The 21974-nt window shown below is 43.3% G+C and overlaps 1 protein-coding gene across 19 annotated transcripts in view, besides 4 other annotated features; it reads right to left on the bottom strand.

The window, feature by feature from the left end:
- The window catches only part of MTMR1 (myotubularin related protein 1), a 72147-nt gene extending 54369 nt beyond the window's left edge, over nt 1-17778 (bottom strand). For 12 of the 19 annotated variants that reach the window (NR_148676.3, XR_007068204.1, XM_005274765.4 and 9 more), the window contains exons 1-2: nt 17064-17344; nt 11440-11545 (exon numbers count right to left, since the gene is read on the bottom strand). Coding sequence is in view for 10 of the 19 variants with exons in the window: in XM_005274765.4 (XP_005274822.1) it covers nt 11440-11545; nt 17064-17209 (252 nt within the window). In the remaining 9 variants the exon portion in view is untranslated. Of the gene's footprint in view, nt 1-1877; nt 1974-11439; nt 11546-17063; nt 17345-17670 lie in introns of those variants that run through there. The other 7 variants (NM_001353992.1, NM_001353991.1, NM_001353994.1 and 4 more) reach the window with 3 other exon arrangements.
- Nucleotides 15801-15880: an enhancer, noted in NCBI's record as "active region_30024". NCBI's record gives its function as "activates an Ori minimal core promoter by ATAC-STARR-seq in GM12878 lymphoblastoid cells {active_cell/tissue: GM12878}" and the evidence as "EXISTENCE:reporter gene assay evidence [ECO:0000049][PMID:35858748]".
- Nucleotides 15901-16000: an enhancer, noted in NCBI's record as "active region_30023". NCBI's record gives its function as "activates an Ori minimal core promoter by ATAC-STARR-seq in GM12878 lymphoblastoid cells {active_cell/tissue: GM12878}" and the evidence as "EXISTENCE:reporter gene assay evidence [ECO:0000049][PMID:35858748]".
- Nucleotides 16894-17033: a silencer, noted in NCBI's record as "silent region_21052". NCBI's record gives its function as "represses an Ori minimal core promoter by ATAC-STARR-seq in GM12878 lymphoblastoid cells {active_cell/tissue: GM12878}" and the evidence as "EXISTENCE:reporter gene assay evidence [ECO:0000049][PMID:35858748]".
- Nucleotides 17344-17413: a silencer, noted in NCBI's record as "silent region_21051". NCBI's record gives its function as "represses an Ori minimal core promoter by ATAC-STARR-seq in GM12878 lymphoblastoid cells {active_cell/tissue: GM12878}" and the evidence as "EXISTENCE:reporter gene assay evidence [ECO:0000049][PMID:35858748]".

Raw genomic sequence — 21974 nt, 5'->3', positions numbered from 1 at the left:
TTATGTTTCAGATACTCTTCTAAGCACTGTATTAACTCATTTTATTCTCAGAACAACCTTATAAGATAAAAACTATTATGGCCGGGCGCAGTGGCTCACGCCTGTAATCCCAGCACTTTGGGAGGCCGAGGCAAGTGGATCACTTGAGGTCAGGATTTCGAAACCAGCCTGACCAACATGGTGAAACCCGTCTCTACTAAAAATACAAAACATTAGCCGGGCTTGGTGGCAGGAGCCTGTAATCCCACCTACTTGGGAGGCTGAGGCAGGAAAATCACTTGAACTTGGGAGGCAGAGGTTGCAGTGAGCCGAGATCACACACTGCACTCCAGCCTGGGTGAGAGCCAGACTCTGTCTCAAAAAAACAGAACAAAACAAAACAAAACAACAAAAACAGAAAAAAACACCTATAACTGGCCCCATGTTTTGATGAGAAAACCAAGGCACAGTTTAAGTAATCTGGCTGAGTTCAAGGTGGCAGAGCAAGCAGTTAAACCCTGGAAGTCCGGCTCTGGATTTGTGCCCATAACAACTCTGCTATACTGCCTCAGCATGGCGCCTCTATCATTAAACCATTTGAACTACAGCCCTAAACCTATTTTGACCCCTCAAATGTTAAATATCTCTTAACTCCCTTCAGGTTTTTTGAAGAAATCAATACCACTAACCCTTCCTCCACCTCTCTACCTCCCAACCTCCATTCTGTAACTACAATTAATGTTTGGATGCTTTGTCTATAAATTGATAGTAAAAACTGAAAACTAAAAACATTCACAACAAAATCTTTATGAAAATATTGTCCACTGCAGAACCAAATTGTGCAATTGAACCCTGATATAGTTTGGACGTTGTCCCCTCTAAATCTCATGTTGGATTCTAATCCCCAGTGTTGGAGGTGGGGCTTGGTAGGAGGTGTTTGCGTCATGGGGGTGGATCTTTCATGGCTGGGCGCTGTCTTTGAGCTAGTGAATTAATTCTTTTGAGATCTGGTTATTTAAGAGGGTATGGCACCTCCCGCTGCCTTGCTCCCACTCTGGCCATGTGAGACGTCAGCATCTCCTTTGCTTTCCACCATGACTGTTAGCTTCCTGAGGCCTCCCCAGAAGCCACACAGATCCCAGCACCATGCTTCCTGTTAAACCTGCAGAACTGTGAGCCCAGTAAACCTCTTTTCTTGACAAATTACCCAGTCTCAGGTATTTCTTTATAGCAACGTGAGAACAGCCTAACACAAACCTCATATATGGGAGTTATAACTCCTTGTCAATAGGCCTTTGCCACTAAAACGAGAAACTAACTTGAAAAAGGGTGCAAAGGGGTGAGATGATAATCTGCTTTTAAACTCACATAATTCTTTACTTACTGCCATGAAATCCTCAGTGTTCCTGGTATGGGGGTGGAGGGGAGAAGGTCAATGGAGGCTTACCCAAAAGTCTCTAAGTTGATACCTATTGTGTTTTCTCTGGTTCACCATGTCCCTCTCCTGAAATAAGCCATTTCAGACACATGCACAGAGCTTCATTTTCTTCTTAAATGTGATTCTGATGGAAGCCGTAGGAGAATAGGTTGTAAGCCAGGAGGCCTGGAAGCCAGCTCTTGCTGATGATACAGAGCTTCCTAATGCCTGCATTCTGGGCCTCAGTTTCGACACATAAAATGAGGGGAGTCTATGGGATGACTGCCAGGACCCTACCAGTTCCCAACTCCGAAGGATTCGGGGTATCTAGGCCTCATTAGAAGACTTAAGAAAACATCTGCCAAACTGAGGCTGAGGGAGGTAAGTCGGCATAGTGGTTAAAAGAACACACTCCAGAGTGAAATCCCAGCTCCAGCACCTACTTACTGGCCACAGGACCTCAGGCGAACCACACACCCACCTTGGAATCTTAGTCTCCTCTTCTCTAAATGGGAGATGTCGAGAGCACCTCCCTTGCAGATTGTTGGCAGGGTTAAATCAGTTAAGATAATTGTACCTGGGGTGGATAAGTAACCTTTTTCAGTTGATGAGTCTCAGCTGCCCCAACTTGTGCCACAACTATTTTCACATGCCCCACATCCCCTCCCTCAACTCCTAAACATGTCAAGAACCTATGAGAAGGTGCAAAAAAAGTTGATAGTGATCTTAATCTATTTAAGAAAGCAAGCATACTGCATCATCTTGTCGTTAACTAAATTTATTATAAGAAACATAATAGTTAACTTCTAACATCTTTTTTAGTATATTTTTCAGTTGTTAAATAGTTATATATATATAACTGAAATATAACTATATATTTCAGTTGTTACATAAATCTAACATAAGAAACACAATAGTTAACTTCTAACATCTTTTTTAGTATAACTATATTTTTCAGTTGTTATAAATACAATGATACAAATTTTTACATGTAATATAGAATCATTCAGCAGTCTAAAAATCTTGACTTATTTAAAATTAAACTTTAAATTTTGGGATCATTGTAGAACCACATGCAGTTGTGAGAAATAATACAGATTCCATGTACCAGTCACCCAATTCCCTCAGTCGTAGCATATTACAAAACTATAGTACAATATCAGAACCAGGATATTGGCATTGATTACAATCAAGATGCAGAAAAATTTCATCACTACAATGAACTCTACTGTTGACCTTTTATAGCCACATCTTACTCCCTCCCTGCTTTCCTCTCTTCTTGGCCCCTGGCAACCACTCATCTGTCTTTATTTCTATCATTTTGCCATTTGAAGAATGTCATATAAATGAAGTCATACAGTATGTAACCTTTTGGTACTGCCATTTTTTTACTCACGTAATTCCTTTAAGATTCATCCAAGTTGCCTGTGTGTATCATTATTTCTTTTTATTGTTGAGTAATATAGTCCATAGCATGGATATACTACAATTTGTTTAACAATATACCTGATGAAGAACATCTGGGTGGGTTCCAGTTTTCGGTGATTATGAATAAAACTGTTAAAAACATTCAGGTACAGGTTTTTATGCAAACATAAGATTTAATTTCTCTTGGACAAATGCCCAGGAGTACAATTGTTTGGTCATATGGCAGGTGCACATTTCATTTTTAAGAAACTGCCAGACTGTGTTTCCAGAGTGGCTGTACCATTTTATATTCCCATCAGCAATCAGTGAATAATCTGGTTCTCCACATTTGGTGTTGTCACTTTTTAAAAATTTCTAACCATTCCAATAGGATATAGCGATATCTCACTGTGACTTTAATTTATATTCCCCTATTGAGAAATGATGTTGAACGTCTTTTCACGTGCTTACCTGCCATGTGTATATCTTCTTTGTTGAGATGCCTCATGTTTTTTGCTCATTTTCTAATTGGATGGTTTGATGTTTTTACTGTCGAGTTTCAAATATTCCTTATATATTCTAAATACTAGTCATCTGTCAGATATGAGGTGTGCAAATATTTTCTTCCACTTTGTAGCTTGTCTTTTCATCTTCTCAGAGTCTTTCACAGAGCAAAAGATTTTAAATTTTGATCAATTTTTTCCTTTTATGGATTGTGCTTTTGGTGTAAAGTTTAAGAAGAATGATTTACCTAGCCCCAGATCCTTAAGATTTTCTTTTTTCTGTAAAAGTTTTATATTTTTAAGTTTGTGATTCATTTTGAGTTAATTTTTGTATAAGATGTGAGACTTAGATCAAGGTTTTGTTTTGTTTTGTTTTGTTTTTTTGTCTATAGATGTCCAATTACTCCAGCAGTATTTGTTGAAAAGCCTATCTTTCAACCATTAAATTGTTTTCATGTCTTGGTGGAAAAAAAAAATCGGCTGAGCATATTTCTGTGGGATGACTTCTAGGTTCTCTGCTCTGTTCCACTGATCTATGTGTCTGTACCTCTGCCATAGTCTTGATTACTGTAGCTATGCAGCATGTCTTGAAGTCATTTAGACTGATTCTTCCCACTTTATTCTTCAAAATTGTTTCAGCTACTTCAGTTCCTTTGCCTTTCCATATAAGTTTTAAATCTGTATCTACAAAAAATCTTTCTGGGATTTTGATAGGAATTGTGCTAAATGTGTATATCAATTAGGGGAGAAGTGACATCTTCCCTATATTGAATCATCCAAATACATGAACAACACTGTGTGTCTCCATTAATTTAGATCTTCTTTGATTTCTTTAATCAATATTTGATAGTTTTCAGCTTATGAGTCCTGTTCATGTCTTATTAGATTTATACTTGCTATGGTTGGAATACATCCCCAAAATTTCATAAGAAAATATTTGCAAATCACATCTCTGGCAAGGTATTAATACCCAGAACATATTAAAAAACTCCTACGTCTCAACAGCAACAACAAAAACCACAAACATCACAAATAACAACTGTTGGCAAGAACATCAAGAAATCAGAACCTCTGTGTACTGTTGGAGGGAATGTAAAATGGTACAGCCACTGTAGGGGTTTGAACATGTCCCCTAAATTTCATGTATTGGAAACTGAATCCCCAGATTCATGTTGCCTGAAGGTAAGGCCTTTGGAACGTAATTGGGATTAGATATGGTCATCAGGGTAGGGCTTCCATGATGGGACTGGTGACTTTATAGGAAGACGGATCTGAGCTAGCAGGTTTGCTCTATCTTGCCATGTGATGTCTCCTGCCATGTCATGATGCAGCAGGAAGGCCCTGACCAGATGCTCACCCCTCAAACTTGGACTTCCCAGCCTCTAGAACTGAAAGTAAAAAATTTATTTTCTTTATAAATTACCCAGTCTGTGGCATTCTGTCACAGCAGCAGCAAACGGACTAAGACAATACCTAAGTATTTCATTGTTACAATACTAATGTCAATGGCACTGTGTTTTTAATTTTGGTCCCCACGTGTTGCTAGTACATAGAAATGCAACTCACTTTTGTATATTAATCTTATATCTATATTGTCTTGTATCCTGTGACCTCACTAAACTCACTTATTAGATTTAGGAGGTTTTTTTGCTTACTGTGTTCTTTCTTCCTTCCTGGGGTCTCAGGATTCCTCCTTTTATTGCTTCCTTTCTGTTCAGAGAACTTTCTTTAGCCATTCTTTTAGGATAGGTATGCTAGTGACAACTTCTCTTCCAGTTTTCCTTCATCTGAAAATGTCTTGATTTCCTCTTCATTCCTGTAGCATATTTTTACATGGTTGATTTTTTTCTTTCAGCACTTGGAAAATGTTGTGCCACTTCCTTCTGACCTTCATGGTTTCTGATGAGAAATCCACTGTCATTAGAATTAATTTTCCTTATAGGTAAAGTGTTATTTCTCTTCCTACTTTCAATATTTTTTTCTTTGTTTTCAGTTTTCAGAAATTTGACTATAATGTGTCTTTGTGTGAATTTGAAGGGATTTCTCTCATTTGGGATTCACTCAGCTTCTTGAATCTGTAGGCTTATGTGTTTTGCCAAATTTGGGGAGCTTCCAGCCATTACTTCTTCAGGTGCTTTTTCAGCCCCATCCCCTCTCTCTCCTTTGGGACTTTGACGACATCAGTGTTAGATCTTTTGTTATACTCCCACAATTCCCTGAGGCTCTGTTCATTTATCTCTGTTATTCAAATTGGGTCATTCCTATTGTTCAATTTTCAAGTTCACAGATTCTTTTTGTCTGTCCTCTCTATTATGGTGTTGAACCTATCCTTTGAGTTTATTTCATTTATTGTATTTTCTAGTTTTAAAATTTCCATCTGGTTCTTCTTTGTCTCTTACATTTCTTTGTGGAAACTTCTCTATTTTTTTTTTCATTGTTTGTTTCAAGCATACCTGCAATTGCTTATTGAAGCAATTTTATGAGGACTTCTTTAAAATCTAACATCTCTATCATCTCAGTTTTGACATCTGTTGATTTGATTCTCTTTTTTCATTCAGTTTGAGATCTTCCTCATTCTTAGTATAACAAGTGATTTTTCATTAAAATCTGCACATTTGGGGCATTATGTTTTAAGACCCTGGATCTTATTCAAACCCTTTGTTTAAGCTGGCTTTCTCTGACACTGCTCCAACAGAAGAGGAGCACTACTTCATTACTTCTAGGTAGGGGTAGGAGTCCAGGTTCCGTACTCAGCCTCCACTGACACTGCAGAGTGGAGGGCTCCTCGTTACTGCTGAGCAAGGGTGAGAGTTCTAGCTCCCAGCTAGGCTTCCACAGAAACCTCCCTGGCTGAGAGAAAAAGGGGTGCCTCATTGTTGCCCTTGATACGGCCTCTACTGACACCACAGTAGAAGGGGCAACCTGCCTACCAATAGATGACAGTGAAAGTCATGACTCTTCACTCAGTCTCCCCTGACACCACCACCACTGCAGGGAGTTGGTATGCCTCATTATAGCCTGGCAAGGGTGGAAACCAGGCTCTCCCAACTGGCTTTGTTGGTGGGGTGGGTGTGGGGTCATAATTTTTTTCTGTGGTGTTTGGCTGGAGTAGAGTAGTTAGTGTGTTTTCTTTTTGCTAGGTGCCCCTTTCCTGGTCCTCTGGCTAGACAGAGTAGGCTTTTCTTATCTGCGCCTGTTGGCATTTCTGACTCACTGGTTTCTTCAGCAATGAGTCTGGGACATACGTGGCAAAAACAAACCCAGGAAACTCACAACCATGTCATTCCTTGGGTCTTGAGGTCCCTAGCTAGTCTGCCTTTTCTACCTTTCAGAGTATTCTTATGTTTATTTTGCAGATAATGTCCAAGGTTTTTAGTTGTACTTAGTACAAAGAATAAGAGAAAATACATTTGCTCCATTTTTTCCAGAAACAGAAGTCTAAATCTTAACATTTTTAAGAAATAATTATTTCCCACAAAAACCATGATAGGATAGCACTCTTCTATCTATTACAGTGGTTACAAAACTGGAGGCCTATGGTTTTTAAAAAAATTTAATTGCTGTTAGGTGGGCATTCTGTACTCTCCAGTTCTCTACAGCACTCTTCCATGTCTGCCTAGATTTGTGAACTGTTCCATGAAGGCATCTGAGTTTGCAAGCTCTGATTTATAAGTCACAAGGCCAGGCTATAGATTACAGAAGTAGATTTTGAAGGTTCATGCTAAAGCTTCCCTTTTCATAGACTAGGGCCCAATTTAAGAAATGTTAACCAAGACCCAGCTCAAGCATAATGAAGTCTTTCCTATACTCTGCCTTCGACTTCCCTCCAAATGTAATTACTGTACTATCCCATCCAATGATTAAACTTAGTATAAGGCCATCTCCATTTTCTCATTTTTCTTCAGAATGTTTAGAGAAGAGATATAGCTACTGTGTGTGTGTGGGTGAGGGAAGGAGAACAGAGAAGAGCTGATGATAATGATGAAGCAAGAGGAAGGAAGATGATCACATTAAAACTATAGTGTCCTAATTTTCATAAAGCTGGCCCAGATCAAATTCTTTTGAACACAATTGAATAATGTTCTAGCAAGAAAGGCATTTAGAGGTGAATAATCTAATCCAAGCCCCTTTATCCTTCCAGAAAAGGAAACTGAGCCTCAGAGACTATACAAGGTCACAAGCTAACCAATATTGTTTGTACTACTCCATCATGTTCTCTTTTCATAACCTAGTCCTACTTTCCAAACAATGGAAGCTGTGATCAATGATGTCACTTCTACTAATAGTTCCTAAAAATGTTTCCATTTGTAACTGTATTATTTCATCTAATCTACAGAAGATTACATTCAAATTTTGTTCTTAAAATTTCTGGCAAATTCAAGAGAAATTTTTTACCATTTGTTAGCCTAGTAAAAATGAAAGCAATTGAGTTGGTAGTGGAGGGGGGACAAGCAAAACAAATATTTTATTACATTTTGTGTAATAGTCTTAATTAACAGGCCAATCTTCAGGATGACTCGGTATTAAATCAGGCATTTATTAATTTAGCTGCCACACAATTCAGTATAATAGCTATCTACTCTTTCAGCTGGGACAATGCTTGCCAAACTTGCCATTTCACATACCACCTCAACAAGTTTGGCTTGCTGTATCTGCCAACTGCCCATACTAATTTTGTATTTATCTTTATATTGATTTAAAATCCATTCCTTTTTAATACTTTGCCTGCTCTAAGCCATAACATCTACTAAATCACAAGCCTGATGTGCTGATTTTTCTAATACACAAGAAAATAATTACATAGCTACTAAAATACGTCCATGGACATACCATCTAAACTCATGTCACGTGATACCAGCGATATTCTTACTGTACTTTAGATGAGCTGACCCTGGGCTGACTGACAATTTATGATATGAGTAAATAATAAAATAATTATTCTCCAATATCTGAGTTGCTAATTATTCAGATTCTTAGTAATATACCAGAAATGCAGGGTCCCATCACCAATTTCAACAGACAGAAACTCAGGAAGCCTAGGTTTTCAGATTTTATCATGCATAAGAAATATATGAGACACTTGTTTCCCTCCCTCAGACACTCTGATTCAGTAAATCTGGGATGGAGCCCGGGAAGCTGCATTTTTACAGGTGCTCCAGAGAATGCTGTCTTGGGAAGACCCAAGGGTCACATTTTGAAAAACAGTGGATGAGGCTGGGTATGGTGGCTCACACCTCTAATCCCAGCATTTTGGGAGGCCGAGATGGGAGGATCGCTCGAGCCCAGGAGTTCAAGACCAGCCTGGGAAACGTAGTAAGACCCCATCTCTATAAAAAAAAAAAAAAGAAAGAAAGAAGAAGAAGAAAAAGAAGAAAAAAAAAGATCGAAAAGCAGTGGATGGGAATGGGGGTGGGACAAAATCTTAAAATCACTCTAGCTTTTCAATAGGATGACTTGAGTTCAAATCCCAAGTCTAACTGTATGACCCTAAGCAAGTCATTTCATCTCTCTAGGCCTCGGTTTCCTCATCCATTAAATGATGATTGTAGTAATAGCTACCTCAATGGACTTTTTTAAAGAAGCAAGATCTCTCTATGTTGTCTAGGCTAGAGTGCATTGGCTTTTCACAAGTGTGACCACAGCACACTGCAGCCTTGAACTCCTGGACTCAAGTGATCCTCCCATCTTAGCCTTCCAAGTAGCTGAGACTACAGACCACCACACCCAGATTCACTAGGTTGTTTTAAGGCTTAAATGGATGACATGTCAAAAAGCATTACAAAACCCCAGAGCCTGTATGTGTTAGAGGGTTGATGATGATGATGATGATGATGACATAGAACCATTCTCGACAGCCTGTTACAACTCAGAAGACAATCAGCATTTCAAATAAGATGCCAAGCATTCTGCTCCACATAAACATCTGCTCCCATTTAATTACTGATGTTGAGTTTAATCTATAATAAATTAGCCCCCAAATTAAGTGTGTATTTCAAATAAGACATTTACACAACAGATAATTTCAAATATCAGCTGATGACTGCAACTTAAATCCTCAAGGAACTTTATCTGGCTCTTCAGGGTCAACCCCATGCAATAGCTCCCATGCCAGAGGGGTCCCAAAGGCCCATTTTGGTTACCCTGATTTTAAGAACTACTTTATAGGGAACATGTACAATTATCCTTGTGGTTTAGAAATATTTTATGTATTTATTATGTAAAAAAAAAAACTCTCCTTGAAGAAAGTGTAACAACCCCTGAGTTATAAATTTAACACCAACTTTTCAGATTTGGCTGCAGGGCAAATATAACAAAGACAATTATAAAACATGCCCCCTTACAATAATTCATCAAAGACTTTAGCTATGATCTGATGTAGGAACTTAAAATTTAATTTCCAAAAGAAAGAAAGCCTTATTTTTTCTGAATACCATCTGTTCAACCATTCCAACATGAGCTAATTCAGCTACACAAAATTTGTAAATAGACTGAGATTGAAAAAACTTAGTTGCTTCATGTTAAAGTACAGATTCAGTCTGATCTATTCATGCAATGTTAGAAAGCTATGCACACAGTCGACATTCAATCTTTTATAGGACACACACAACACTAACAACTATTCAACCTTAATGAAAACATTACAGTTAACTCATAATTGTCCATAAAGAAAATCACCCCGAAGTGTGAGAGCTATTCTCTGCTAAAATGGGTTCTTAAGTCTCTCTACTCAGCGGGCAGTTTCTCAGCTAAGGTGCAGGCAATAGGGCAACTGGAACTGATGCGATCCGCAGCTGCTCAGTGACCAGCCATTCACGCATCAGTGATGCAGCAAATGCTTCTCCCACCTGGAGACAGTGTGTTTGCCCGACCAGGTTTTAAGGTCCAGGAGCCCCAGCTGCTCTTTTATGGGCAAACATGAACACCACATAGCAGGAAAAATGATTAAGAAATACACTGTCACTCTTCTAGCTGGGCAGATTATCCAATTTCTGCTAATCCACAGCTATGCCTTCCTTTGGTAGGCATAATCAACAGCATCTGCCAGTTTGGATGAGGCAAGAGACAGCACCATAGCCAAATCTCAATTAATTGGCCTCCTGAGCCTGTTTCTGCACTTGTTATTACCCTATGAGCTCTAAAGAGGAACTGAAGATAAAGCTCCTAAACAAGGAGTACCTATTAAGAATTAATTAGGATCTTTACTGTAATTCTTGATATTTGTAAGATTTGATGTCTGGCAAGGACCATGATATTGAGAGACTATTAACTAATGGTAGTCTGGGATACCAAATGCATTTTACACACACTTGTGAAAAATCAATCATCTCTTACTAGCAGGAAAAATGACCACTAATAAACAGAAACCTCAACTTAGGCAAACATCAGTACTGAAATATAAATGTGATTTCATTTAATATACCTATTAATAGTTTATTGACATTAAAACAAAGTTAGTCTTTAGCCTTAACAAAGATGGAACAAGCGATTTTTTTGATTTGTTAATTGATTCAATATTTATTGAGCAACTGTTATGCTCCAGGATTGTGCCTGGGAAGCCAGTGGTAAAACTGCCCTAGTCTCTGCTGACAAGGAGCTTATCACTTAAATTTAGAATAAGCAGGGAATCTAACTTTTAAAATGAACAAAAAGAGATTTTCACTTCAGTAAGGACTGAAAAATGAGGCTGCCCATACAATACTCTTTTGAGATTCTGGAAGGGTTTTTATACATTCTAGTATCACATGTTAATGCTGAATACTCACAGATAATACATAAATTAAAAAATTGTGAAGTTAGGGAAGTATTGTACATCAAGATATTTCCTGAAACTCACAATACTAACAAAGAAGCTATATGCATTTATTATTATAAAATGGAACTTGATTTTTAAAAGAATCATTGTCATCTAAAGACAGCTTCTCCTTTCAATTACAAAACTATGACTACATGTACTGGATACTGGTAAAATTTCTCTTCTACATTTCAGATCTAACAACAGAGAACCTTTCATCCTTATTCTCGAGCAAATGGCCATGTTGCATCAAAAGGCCAACAGCTCACTTGAATTAAAACTGCAAAGCTTCTTGGCTACTTAGCATACTGAAAATGAATTAAACACTCAATGTTGCTTACCTTGTAATCTCTGGACACATTTTCTGATGTCACTGAACCTGAAATCTGACTAGAAATTGTAGCAGCTATAAGCTGTTTACACCATTCAACATGTGATCCTGTGGGACTAAAAAAAATAGCATGGATTACAAAACGTTATATCATAGGATCTCAGTGAAAAAATTAGCACTGAATAGGAATATGATAACACTTCTTTTTTTAGATGAACTAACTAGACTCTTTGGTTACCTTCACATTTTATGTAAGAACTGAAATAGCGACTGACAACTAGGAAATAAGATTAGATTCCAGGTTAATTTTAAATGAATCACCCAATTTTCTCAAACAAAGTTGAAGATTCTAGGTGTTAGTTAAGCTTACTATTCTCTACCATTTAATGGAATTTTACTCTATTAAAATTATATGGAAGAAATACTTCTTTTTTTTTTTGTGAGATGGGGTCTCACTCTGTCACCCAGGCTGGAGTGCAGTGGTGCAATCTCAGCTCACTGCAACCTCCCAGGTTCAAGTGATCCTCCCACCTCAGCCTCCTATGTAGCTGGGACTACAGGCACATGCCACCAGGCCCGGCTTTTGTGTGTGTGTGTGTGTGTGTGTGTGTGTGTGTGTGTGTGTGTGTGCGCGCGCGTGTAGACAGGGTTTTGCCATGTTTCCCAGGCTAGTCTCGAATTCCTGGGCTCGAGTGACCCACCCGCCTTAGCCTCCCAAAGTGCTAGGATTACAGGCATGAGCCACCACACCCAGCCGGGAGAAATATGTGAAATATTTATCTTACAGCATAGGCTTTTCAAACATTCAATCAATTTCATGTTGGTAGTTTTAAATCTAGAAAATAGTGTACTTTTGAGTGAAGCAAAGTGACTCAGAAAAGTAAAGCTGAACATGAGATTTATAAATTACAGCCTAGAAAAATGATGTTCTCTGTGTAGTACTAACAATACCTTACACTTCTATAAGTGCTTTGACAACTTACAAATGGTTTTTATTTTTTATTTATTTTTTTTTTTGAGACAGAGTCTTGCTCTGTCACCCAGGCTGGAGTGCAGTGGCGCGATCTCGGCTCACTGCAAACTTTGCCCTTCTGGGTTCAAGCAATTCTCCTGCCTCAGCCTCCCTAGTAGCTAGGATTATTTAGGCGCATGCCACCATGCCTGGCTAATTTTTGTATTTTTAGTAGAGACGGGTTTTCACCATGTTGGCCAGGCTGGTCTTGAACTCCTGACCTCAGGTGATCCACCCGCCTTGGCCTCCCAAAGTGCTGGGATTACAAGCACAAATGGTTTTTATTATATCAGAGCCTCACAACCATGGTGTGATGAGAAGGCAGAACAGGGACTAGCCGACTTGTCTTTGAGGAGAGAAAATCGAGGCACAGAGGTGACATGCCCTGTGAGAAAGTGGCTGTCCTCAACAGGACATGGAACAACCAATAGCGACTGACTCACTGCACTGAAGCCAGCAGCACAGATGCGAGCCAACCGCTTTACATGAAAACACAGCAATGCAAAGAAAATGTCATCTTTCACTCCCACAGAGCTCTGAGGCATCAAAGCATTTTCACACACGTAGCCTTGCCCAGCCTCACAGTGACCCATTTTACAGATGAAAAAATTAAGGTCCAGTTTTGCCCAAGGTCACACGACTGGCAAGTGGTCAGGCTGTACTCACCTGACCTGAAAGACCACATAAGCCAACTAGCGCAGTAAGAGATTTAACAATTGCCCCCAGAGGCCGGGTTCCTCTCACAATTTGGCAAAACACTAAGAAATCAAGCTAGAGGGCTAAAAACACCGACAAAAGTTTACCTTGCAGGTAGCTTTCACTGTAAAGAATGTTTCAGGCCTTTAAAAAAAAAATCATATCACTAATTAAACCCACACTCACATATCTGAAGGACAGAAACACCTGGAATCCCCAGGCAATATGGAAAATGACCCAAATAGTAAAAGAAAGAAAACTGAAGTTCTGTGCTAGTGATCCAAATTGCAGTCTCTGATCAAAACAGACCAGAGGTTATCTGTATGGTTGAAAATACTGAATGAGCAGAAATTCCTATCACATGCCAGGAATCTATATACCACAATTTCGACCTGAGGGGGAGAAGGAGAGAAAAGGGAGAGATTTGTTTCCTTTTTAAAGGTTAAGTCACTTTCATTCCCACGTATATCATACTTTTCTTGTCATAATGCCTTTTTCTGTCAGCACCCACCAGTTGCAAATACAGGAAGAAACTGCAGAAACCCAACTGCTGAGCATGAGTGTGACCTGCTATTACCACCTGCCTGCCCGGCATGCCTTCCCCCTTCTTCTGATAAAGACCTTCCTCTTTACTTTGGGAACTGCCCTTCCCCACAACACAGGCTTCTGTGGGGGAAAGCGGAGAAGAAGGTTGACCCCTTCCTCCACCTGCTCCCACTTGTAGGTGAGTTACCTAGGACCAGCCAATCCCAGACTTTTCCCCTTGGATCCTGAAATACATGGATCTGTATCCAGAGCTGCTGGAGGCCACTCCCCACCCCACCCCACCCCTACCATCTTAAGGAACTCACAGCGATTAAAAAGTGAGGGAAAATAAAAGAGAGAGGGAGAGAGAGATGGGGAGTCCCGACAACACTGTTTGCAATCCTGACCTCAACTGTGCCTGTGGCCATCTCTCCTCCTGTCTGGAGCAGTTCTGTGAGCCAGGGCATCTCATTTGCCTTAAGCTAGATTGAACTGTGGTTTCTGTCACCTGCAACCAGAAGCATCCTGGCCAATGTAGTTACACACAGTGAAGCACAGTGGGTTAGCAGACAGGAGGCCTGGACATGAGTCCTGCTTCTGTCACCAGCTAACTCCATGATCTTTGGCAAGACACATCCTCTTACAGGACCACAGCTTCCTCATTATTAATTACAGTATTCAGAAGAGAAGTGAAGGCCCCATAGTCCCAGGGACATGGCCAAGTCCCACCCATAGAGCCAGGTTCCATTCTAGAGGTCACTCTTCAAAGAAAAGTGTGAATCTGAGCTTGTTGAGCTGACAGAACTGAGAAAGGAGGCCATGATTCCTCCCCCATCCCTTCTCTGTAGTCTGTGCAATTGCCCTCTATACTCCTGGTGTCAATAACTACTTACAGGCTGGAGGCTCCCAGCTCTGTTTCTCCAACCTGGACTCTCCTGATCTCAATGCTGATGTTCCTACAAGACCTGTCCACTAGTCTGGCCCAGAGACCCTGCCAATTCAACCTGTCTAAACCAGCATCAGCCGCTCAGCCCCGCAACCTACTCTGCTCCTGTGTTTCCTAACTCAGGGCGCAGCACAGCCAGTTATCCGGCCCCCACACGCTAGAAAGCTGAGGTTTGCCTTGGAGTCCACCCGGCACTCCCCCCTCACATCTGAATGCTCACCATGTCGGGTCACTCTTACCTGGTAAGCATCTTGAAAATCCACCCAGCCCTATTCCTAGCCCAATTCCCTTTTCCAGACCTCCATCATTCTTCTGTGAACTCCACCTGCCTCATGAATTTAAGCCTCATCTATAAGCCCATGACTCCCCAGTTTGAATCTCCAGCCCAGACAACCCTGAACTCCAGGCTCAGATAGATCAACTATATCTTTGACATCTATTCTGGGACATATAATTGGCATCTCAAAATTGATATGTCCAGAGCGAAGAGCCTGCTATTTTCTAACCCTGCTCCACCTTAGAAAGACTTCTCCATCTCAGCAACACAATTTTCCCACAAGCTAAAATTTTGGAATTCTCCCAGATTCTTCTCTCATACCAACCAACCAATCTTCAGCAAACCCCATTGGCTCTACCCTGCAGGTCTTCAAATTACATGTAGTATCTGACCACTTCTCCCCTCCTCCGCTCCACTCTGGACCACCATCTCACTTGGCTTACTACAATAGCCTCCTACTGACAGTCTCTGCTTCAGCTCCTTCCCCTTTCACTCTATTGTCCACATAGCACCATGGAGAGCCTACTGAAATCTACAACAGATGATGTCACTCCTCTGCACAAAGTCCCCAGTGGCTCCCCATGGCCTCTGAGGCTCTCCACCATCTGGCTCTGTGACTTCTCTAACGTCATCCCTTACTTGTCTCTCCCTAGCTCCCTCCCTGCTAGTGACACCTAGTCTCCTCGCTGATCTAGGAACACTTGGCTCACATTCACCTCAGGGGCTTTGCACAGGCCTCTGACTAGAATACTATCACCCCCAGGTATCTGTATGGCTGGATCCCTCGCCTCTTTGGGGGCATTACTCAAATGTCAGCTTTCTCAGGCTTTCCCTGATCATCAAAATCTCTGAAGGAAACCAGAAGATGAGGCATATTTGGGGGTGACACATTCTGGTCTCCTTTGGCTTCTTAAATGATTCTGATGCATGCCCATCCTGAGTACTTCTGTGTTCGCCTCTACCACCTATCTCATTTATCACATTCGATTTCCACTGTTGGTTGGTTTGTATTCTCCACTAGATGGTAAGTCTAGCAAAATGGTAAGGCAGCAAAAGCCGTGTTGTGCTATTCTCTGAATCGCCCAGACCTCGTGTGTGGTTGAATATTTGCAGATGAGTGAAGTCCTCACCATTTCAAGTGCTGTCTTAGCTGTGACTGGTTTTCAGTGACACTAACCACTTGGGTGATTAATTTATTAAAATATATTGTAATTACACTGAGGTAGAAACAAAAGTGAAGGGAATGTTTCTTGTTTCTGTGCTTTTGGAAACTCCCAAAAGTTTGGCACAATGGGATGACCAAGACAGGCAGGAATGGGCATGTAAAACTGACTGAGCTACATTCCAACAGTGCATGCTGCCTGAGTGCACTCTGGTGTCAGGGAAATGGCCAAGTTGTGGGAAAACTGGATGTTCCGGGTTACACGATAGGCCATCTCTTGTCGTCGGAGGAGGCGGTGGCCCCTCCCAGTTCGACACGGTCACTTTATGTTTCTAACTGATTTCTCTTAGTTCTGCAGCTGCCTCAGAAGCAGTAGGCTTGCTTGTGTGTTCATGAAAACAATAAACTGGTTCCCTCAAAGTGTGAAGAACTGAAAGTAAATGGTTCTGTTTTCTTGCCTCCTGAGCAGTTTGGACGTTTTCCATCTCAGATTTTTGCCTCGATCTGCACCAGCTCCCACGCCCGCGGGGTCCCATCTCCCCGTCCTCACTCCCAACCCCCCATCAAAGACCCTAAGCAGCCACAGCAGAATTGGGGTCTTAAAACCACACGAGGCAAGGTGATGCTAGAAGAGGAGAGCCCGGGTGGGATCTCCCTCCCAAGAGGATTGGTGGCCTGGGCAGGGACAGCCAAGCGATCGCCAAGGGCAGCAGGTGGCGGCGCCGGAAGTGGTTTGACAGCTGCGAAGCCCCTCCCGGGGTTCCAGGAGCTGGGGCTCTCGGGGCGGAAGTGAGCCAGGTGCGCGGCCCGCAGCAGGTCCGAGGGCAGCAGTCCCCGGATGGGGCGCTGAGGTTTCCGGGGGTGGGGGGGAGGAGGGCCCAGAGGGGATGAAGAGGGGCCGCCCACCCCGCCACCGCCAGGCCCTGCGCAGCGCGCGGGGAGGGGGCGGGCTGGCCTCGCGCGGGGCCCTCGGGAGTCGGGGCGCGGGAGGCCGGGGCAGCCCGGGCCCCGCTTACCTGTCCAGGGTCTCCACGCTGGGCTGCCGGGAGCCGGCGGTGGCGCCCCCCGCGGCCCGAGGAGGCCTCCTGCCGCCCGCCGGCCCCGGGTTCGGGCCCCCGCCGCCCTCGCAGCCCGCCGCCGCCGCCGCCGCCGGCCTGTCCATGGCGCGCCGAGTCCTGCCGCCTTGGGGAAGCCGCCGTCGGGACGGGAGCGGCGGCCGGGAAGGTTTCGCTGCTTGCCTCCTGCCGCCCGCTCTATACCGCCCGCCCGCCTCAGGCGGCCGCCGCCATTAGCTGTCACCTGGCGGCCCCGCGTTACCCACAAGGCCGCGCGCGCGGGGGTCGGGGGGCGGGAGCGGGGGCGGGGAGGGCGGCGCGCGGGGCCGGCGCCGGGAACCCCCACCTCGCCCAGCCCCACCTGGGCGCTCGCCCACGGAGCCTTACAGCGGGGATCTGGGACCTCCTGCTCCAGCGACCTGGGTGCGTACAGAGCCACTGGGGTTCGGAATCCCCAAACGGATTATGCGTAGCGTGCTTCACTCTATAGTCACACCGGGTTGACTGCAGAGACGTGGGGTGTAAAAAGAAGTTTGAAGACATTCAAGTATCAAAAATGATTTCCCACCTCAGTTGTCCTTCCCGGAAAAGGTATAGAACAGCTCAAGCTCCCTCGGTCTTGACATCTTGAAGCAGGAGCAATTCCGTGCATTTTAGCAATTCCTCCCCACCCCATTCTTCCCTCCACTCTCCCCCTCCATACGCACCCCGCCGCCCCGCCACAAACCCACCCCCTTGCCATCTGTAGGGCAACCAAGTGTTCTGATGCCGCCCTCGGAGCTTCCGCCCATGGTTTATGTTAAGAGTAACATTTAACTTCTGTTGATTAAAAAATCACTGCTATGAACATCAAGCCAATATCTTGGTGAGGCATTTAGGACATTTGCTTTCTGGGCTAGATTTATTTCCTTGCTCATTTTGTTTGGGTTCGAATATCCAACAGCTCATCCCCTCTCACCTCACCCCTGATTAAGTTGGGAGTGGGTGTGTGGCTCGTGATTAAGCCTCTTTGCCTGTGATTGCTCTGGGTGTAGACAGGAGGCCTGCGACCCAGGTCTGGAAAAGAAGATATAAAGGGAACAATTTGCTCACTGTTAAAAGGCAGATCTGCAGACAGGGAGTTACTCATGCCCATCCCAGACCCATCCTGCCCCACCAGCTTAATAACTTCAAACTGAACTTTGAGGATATGATGCCTGAAGCCCCGACAGCCATCTTACGCACAAGAGGAGGTGAGCCTGGGGTAAGAAGATGACAGAGTGAGGAGGGCTAGGAGGAAGGAAAGGAAGATCCCCAGACAATAATAGCTCCTATCTCACACTGGAGAATCACCGACTGCAGGTTGCTGGCTTTCTAAAATTATTAAATCAAATGGTTAACCCACTGTTATGGACTGAATGTTTTCATCCCCCTGAAGTCCATATGTTGAAGCCCTAATTCCCTGTGTGATGGTATTTGGAGATGGGGTCTTTGAGAGGCAATTAGGTCATGAGGGCCAAGCTCTAGTCTGATGGAACTGGTGCTTTTTAAGAAGGGTCACCAGAGAGCTTGATCTCATGCACTCACATGCACACACTGAGAAAAGGCCGTGTGAGTACACAGCAAGAAGGTGGCCATCTGCAAGCCAGGAACAGAGCCCTTACTAGGTCCCTGCTGGACACTTAATCTTGGACTTTCCAGCCTCCAGAGTTGTGAGAAAATTTCTGTTGTTTAAGCCACCCAGTCTATGGTATTTTGTTTTGGCAGCCTAAGCACACTAAGACACCCACTTTTAGTTGGGTATTTTGTTACAAGTAGCTGCAAGCATCTTAGCTGTGCTGAGAATTGTCAGAAAGAAAACAGTGCAACTTTAAGCATATTTTAAGTACCATATTCTTTAAGAAACATTAGGCCAAAGAGGAATTCACTGTGACACTGTCATACTTCCAATTCAGTTAAGTACACTTAGGATTTAGAGGACAGAGATGAATCTGACATATCCCTGCCTAAGATGTTCACAATCCAGTGAAGGGGACAGACAAATTAACAATGACATTACAAGTTGGCAAGTGCTATAATGGGGACAATTGCACAGGATGTGGAACACCTACCCCAATCCATAGGAGAAGAGGAGGTCAGGAAAACTTCCCCAAAAAGGTGACATAAAACTGAATCTTTAAAGATGAGTAAATCCTTGATGAGGCAAAGGAGTCAAGTTATTCCAGGCAGAAGGCACAGTTATGGGCAAAGGTGTGGATTAGTAGGTATATTAATCTGTTTTGCTTTGCTGTAAAGGAATACCAGAGACCTGGTAATTTATAAAGAAAAGAAGTTTATTTTGGCTCACAGTTCTGCAGACCGTACAAGAAGCATTGTGCTGGCATCTGCTTCTGGTAAGGGCCTCAGCAAGCTTACAATCATGGTGGAAGGCGAAGAGGAAACAGGCATGTCAAATGGTGAGAGAAGGAGCAAGTGAAAGGTGAGGGAGGCACCAGACTCTTTCAAACGACCAGCTCTTGCATGAACTCATAGAACGAGGATTCACTCATTACCACGGGGAGGGCACAAAGCCTTTCCTGAGGGGTCCACCTTCAGGATGTTCACAATCCAGTTTGCAACCCAGACACCCCTTACTCAGCCCCAACTCCAACATTAGGGCTCACATTTCAACATGAGATTTGGACGGCACAAACATCCAAACTCTATCTGTAGGTTAAATAGCTTATTATGTGCAAGAGAATGCCAAGAAATCGAGTGTTACTGGAGCATAAAGTCAGACAAGATAAGTGAGGATCTGGACTGGTGGTAGGCCAAGAAGTTTGGGCTTTGTTCTGCAGCTCACCAGATCTCAAATGTTAGTGTGCAAGAATCAGCCCCAGTCTGCATTTTCAGCAAATGCTCCCATGATTCTGATGCGGGGCTTGCTGCACTTGGAGAAATACTATTGTATAGTCCCCCATCTACGTCCATTTGATAGATTGTGCTTCCAAAGACTGCTGCAATAATATCCCCCATCCCACACACTCTTTTGCAAGGTGATCTTACCACTCATACATCAAGAGGTGGATTCTGTTTACCTTCTCCTTGAATGTGGACTGGCCCTGTAACCCCTTTGACCAATAGAATGTAGCAGAGGTGATGCTGTATAATTTCCAAGGCTAACCCTTAAGGGATTTGCAACTTCCAGTTTGCTTTCTGTGCATACTCCTTCTTGGAAGTCAGCTGCCATACTCTGAGGAAGCCCAAGCAGCCACAGGGAGAGGCCCATATGGAAGAGAACCAAAGCTCTCAGCCAATAGCCCTAGCTGAGTTCCCCAGGCAGCATGGCCAGAAGCCAGCACTAACTGCCAGCTATGTGAGTGAGGCCATTTCAAGCCTTTCAGTCATTCTGGTGGCCTAGCCAACACCACATGAAGCTGATGAATCATACAATTGACTCACAGATTTTTGAAAACTAATGAATTATGGTTTTAAGCCACTAGGTTTTGGGGTGATTTTTTGTGCAGCAATAGAGCACCCAAGCATTGCTCTTGATGAATGATCCAGAGAAGTAATCCCCTACCTGCTCAGCTCCCTTCCCCATTCAGCTATAGGAATCCATGCACAAATCACAGCCACACTCCAAGGAGGGTACTCCACAGTAGTAGGTCAGAAGCTGTTATAATCTAAGATTTTACCCTACTAGCAAGCTGAAAATTTAGTTGATCACCACACTCTAACACTCTGAGAGAAAATATAAAGCCTCTGGATCCGAAACAAAGACAGTTTATTATTCACAGCAAAATCAGCAGCCACAGCAATATCTTGGATCTGCATCCTGAACCCCAGTCTCTACAGGGTGGCATGCTGTTCTGCAGTGCAACCTTGCCACTCTTACATTAAGAGGTGGTATCGGCTGGGCGTGGTGGCTCACGCCTGTAATCCTAGCACTTTGGGAGGCCGAGGTGGGCAGATCACCTGAGGTCAGGAGTTCAAGACCAGCCTGGCCAACGTGGCGAAAGCCCATCTCTACTAAAAATACAAAAATTAGCCGGGCGTGGTGGCACATGCCTATAATCCCAGCTACTTGGGAGGCTGAGGTAGGAGAATCGCTTGAACCCAGGAGGCAGAGGTTGCAGTGAGCTGAGATCCTGCCACTGCACTCCAGCCTGGGCGACAGTGCGAGACTCCGTCTCAAACAAAACGAAACAAAACAAAACAAAAACAGGTGGTACCTATTTCCCCTCCTTTTGAATGGGGGCTGGCCTGTAACTGCCTTTGACCAATAGGAGGCTAGATAGTATCTGCACATGTAATGGGATACACCACAGGAGAGAAAACCCCAACGCAGGAAACTCTGGCTACTAGTGACCTACCCATTCTCCCCTGCAGGGAGAGAGATTACTCGTTACCTTGGAATGAATGATCAGATGTAAACAAATGTCCTTTGTGGAGATTTACATTTACTACCCTGGATTGGAATGTCTCCTCATACCAACTTTACTAACGTGGCTGTAAATGTATTTCCTCAGAGAACCCTGACCATGCTGAAACCGGAGATAGTCATGGTGAATTGTCTCCAAACACACACAGGCCCTACCACCCCCTTCTGCCCACATGGGGGTCTAGTCATAGTTGCTGGGCTGACTATACTGCATTCCTAGAAATCACTCTAAGAGGACAGGCACATGGTTTTTGTATGCCACCTGGAGCTGGAGTTGTGTGGTGGGAGGCAAGGTGAAGAGTGACTTCTCAGGCCCGTGGTGATGCTCACCAGGAAACAGGAAAGGCCTCCTTTGAATGCCCAGCTGCACTCTGCAGTTCCTGCTGGGGAAGTGGGAAATGTATATGAGTATGCTGCATGTTTGTGACATGTTTATGCATGTTTATGCCATGTTTATGTAGAAAGTAGTA

Source organism: Homo sapiens, chromosome X (assembly GCF_000001405.40).
Source record: "Homo sapiens chromosome X, GRCh38.p14 Primary Assembly".
Lineage (NCBI taxonomy): Eukaryota > Metazoa > Chordata > Mammalia > Primates > Hominidae > Homo > Homo sapiens.
The sequence above is the reverse complement of the archived record's forward strand: the minus strand, read 5'-3'. Positions and strand labels throughout refer to the sequence as shown.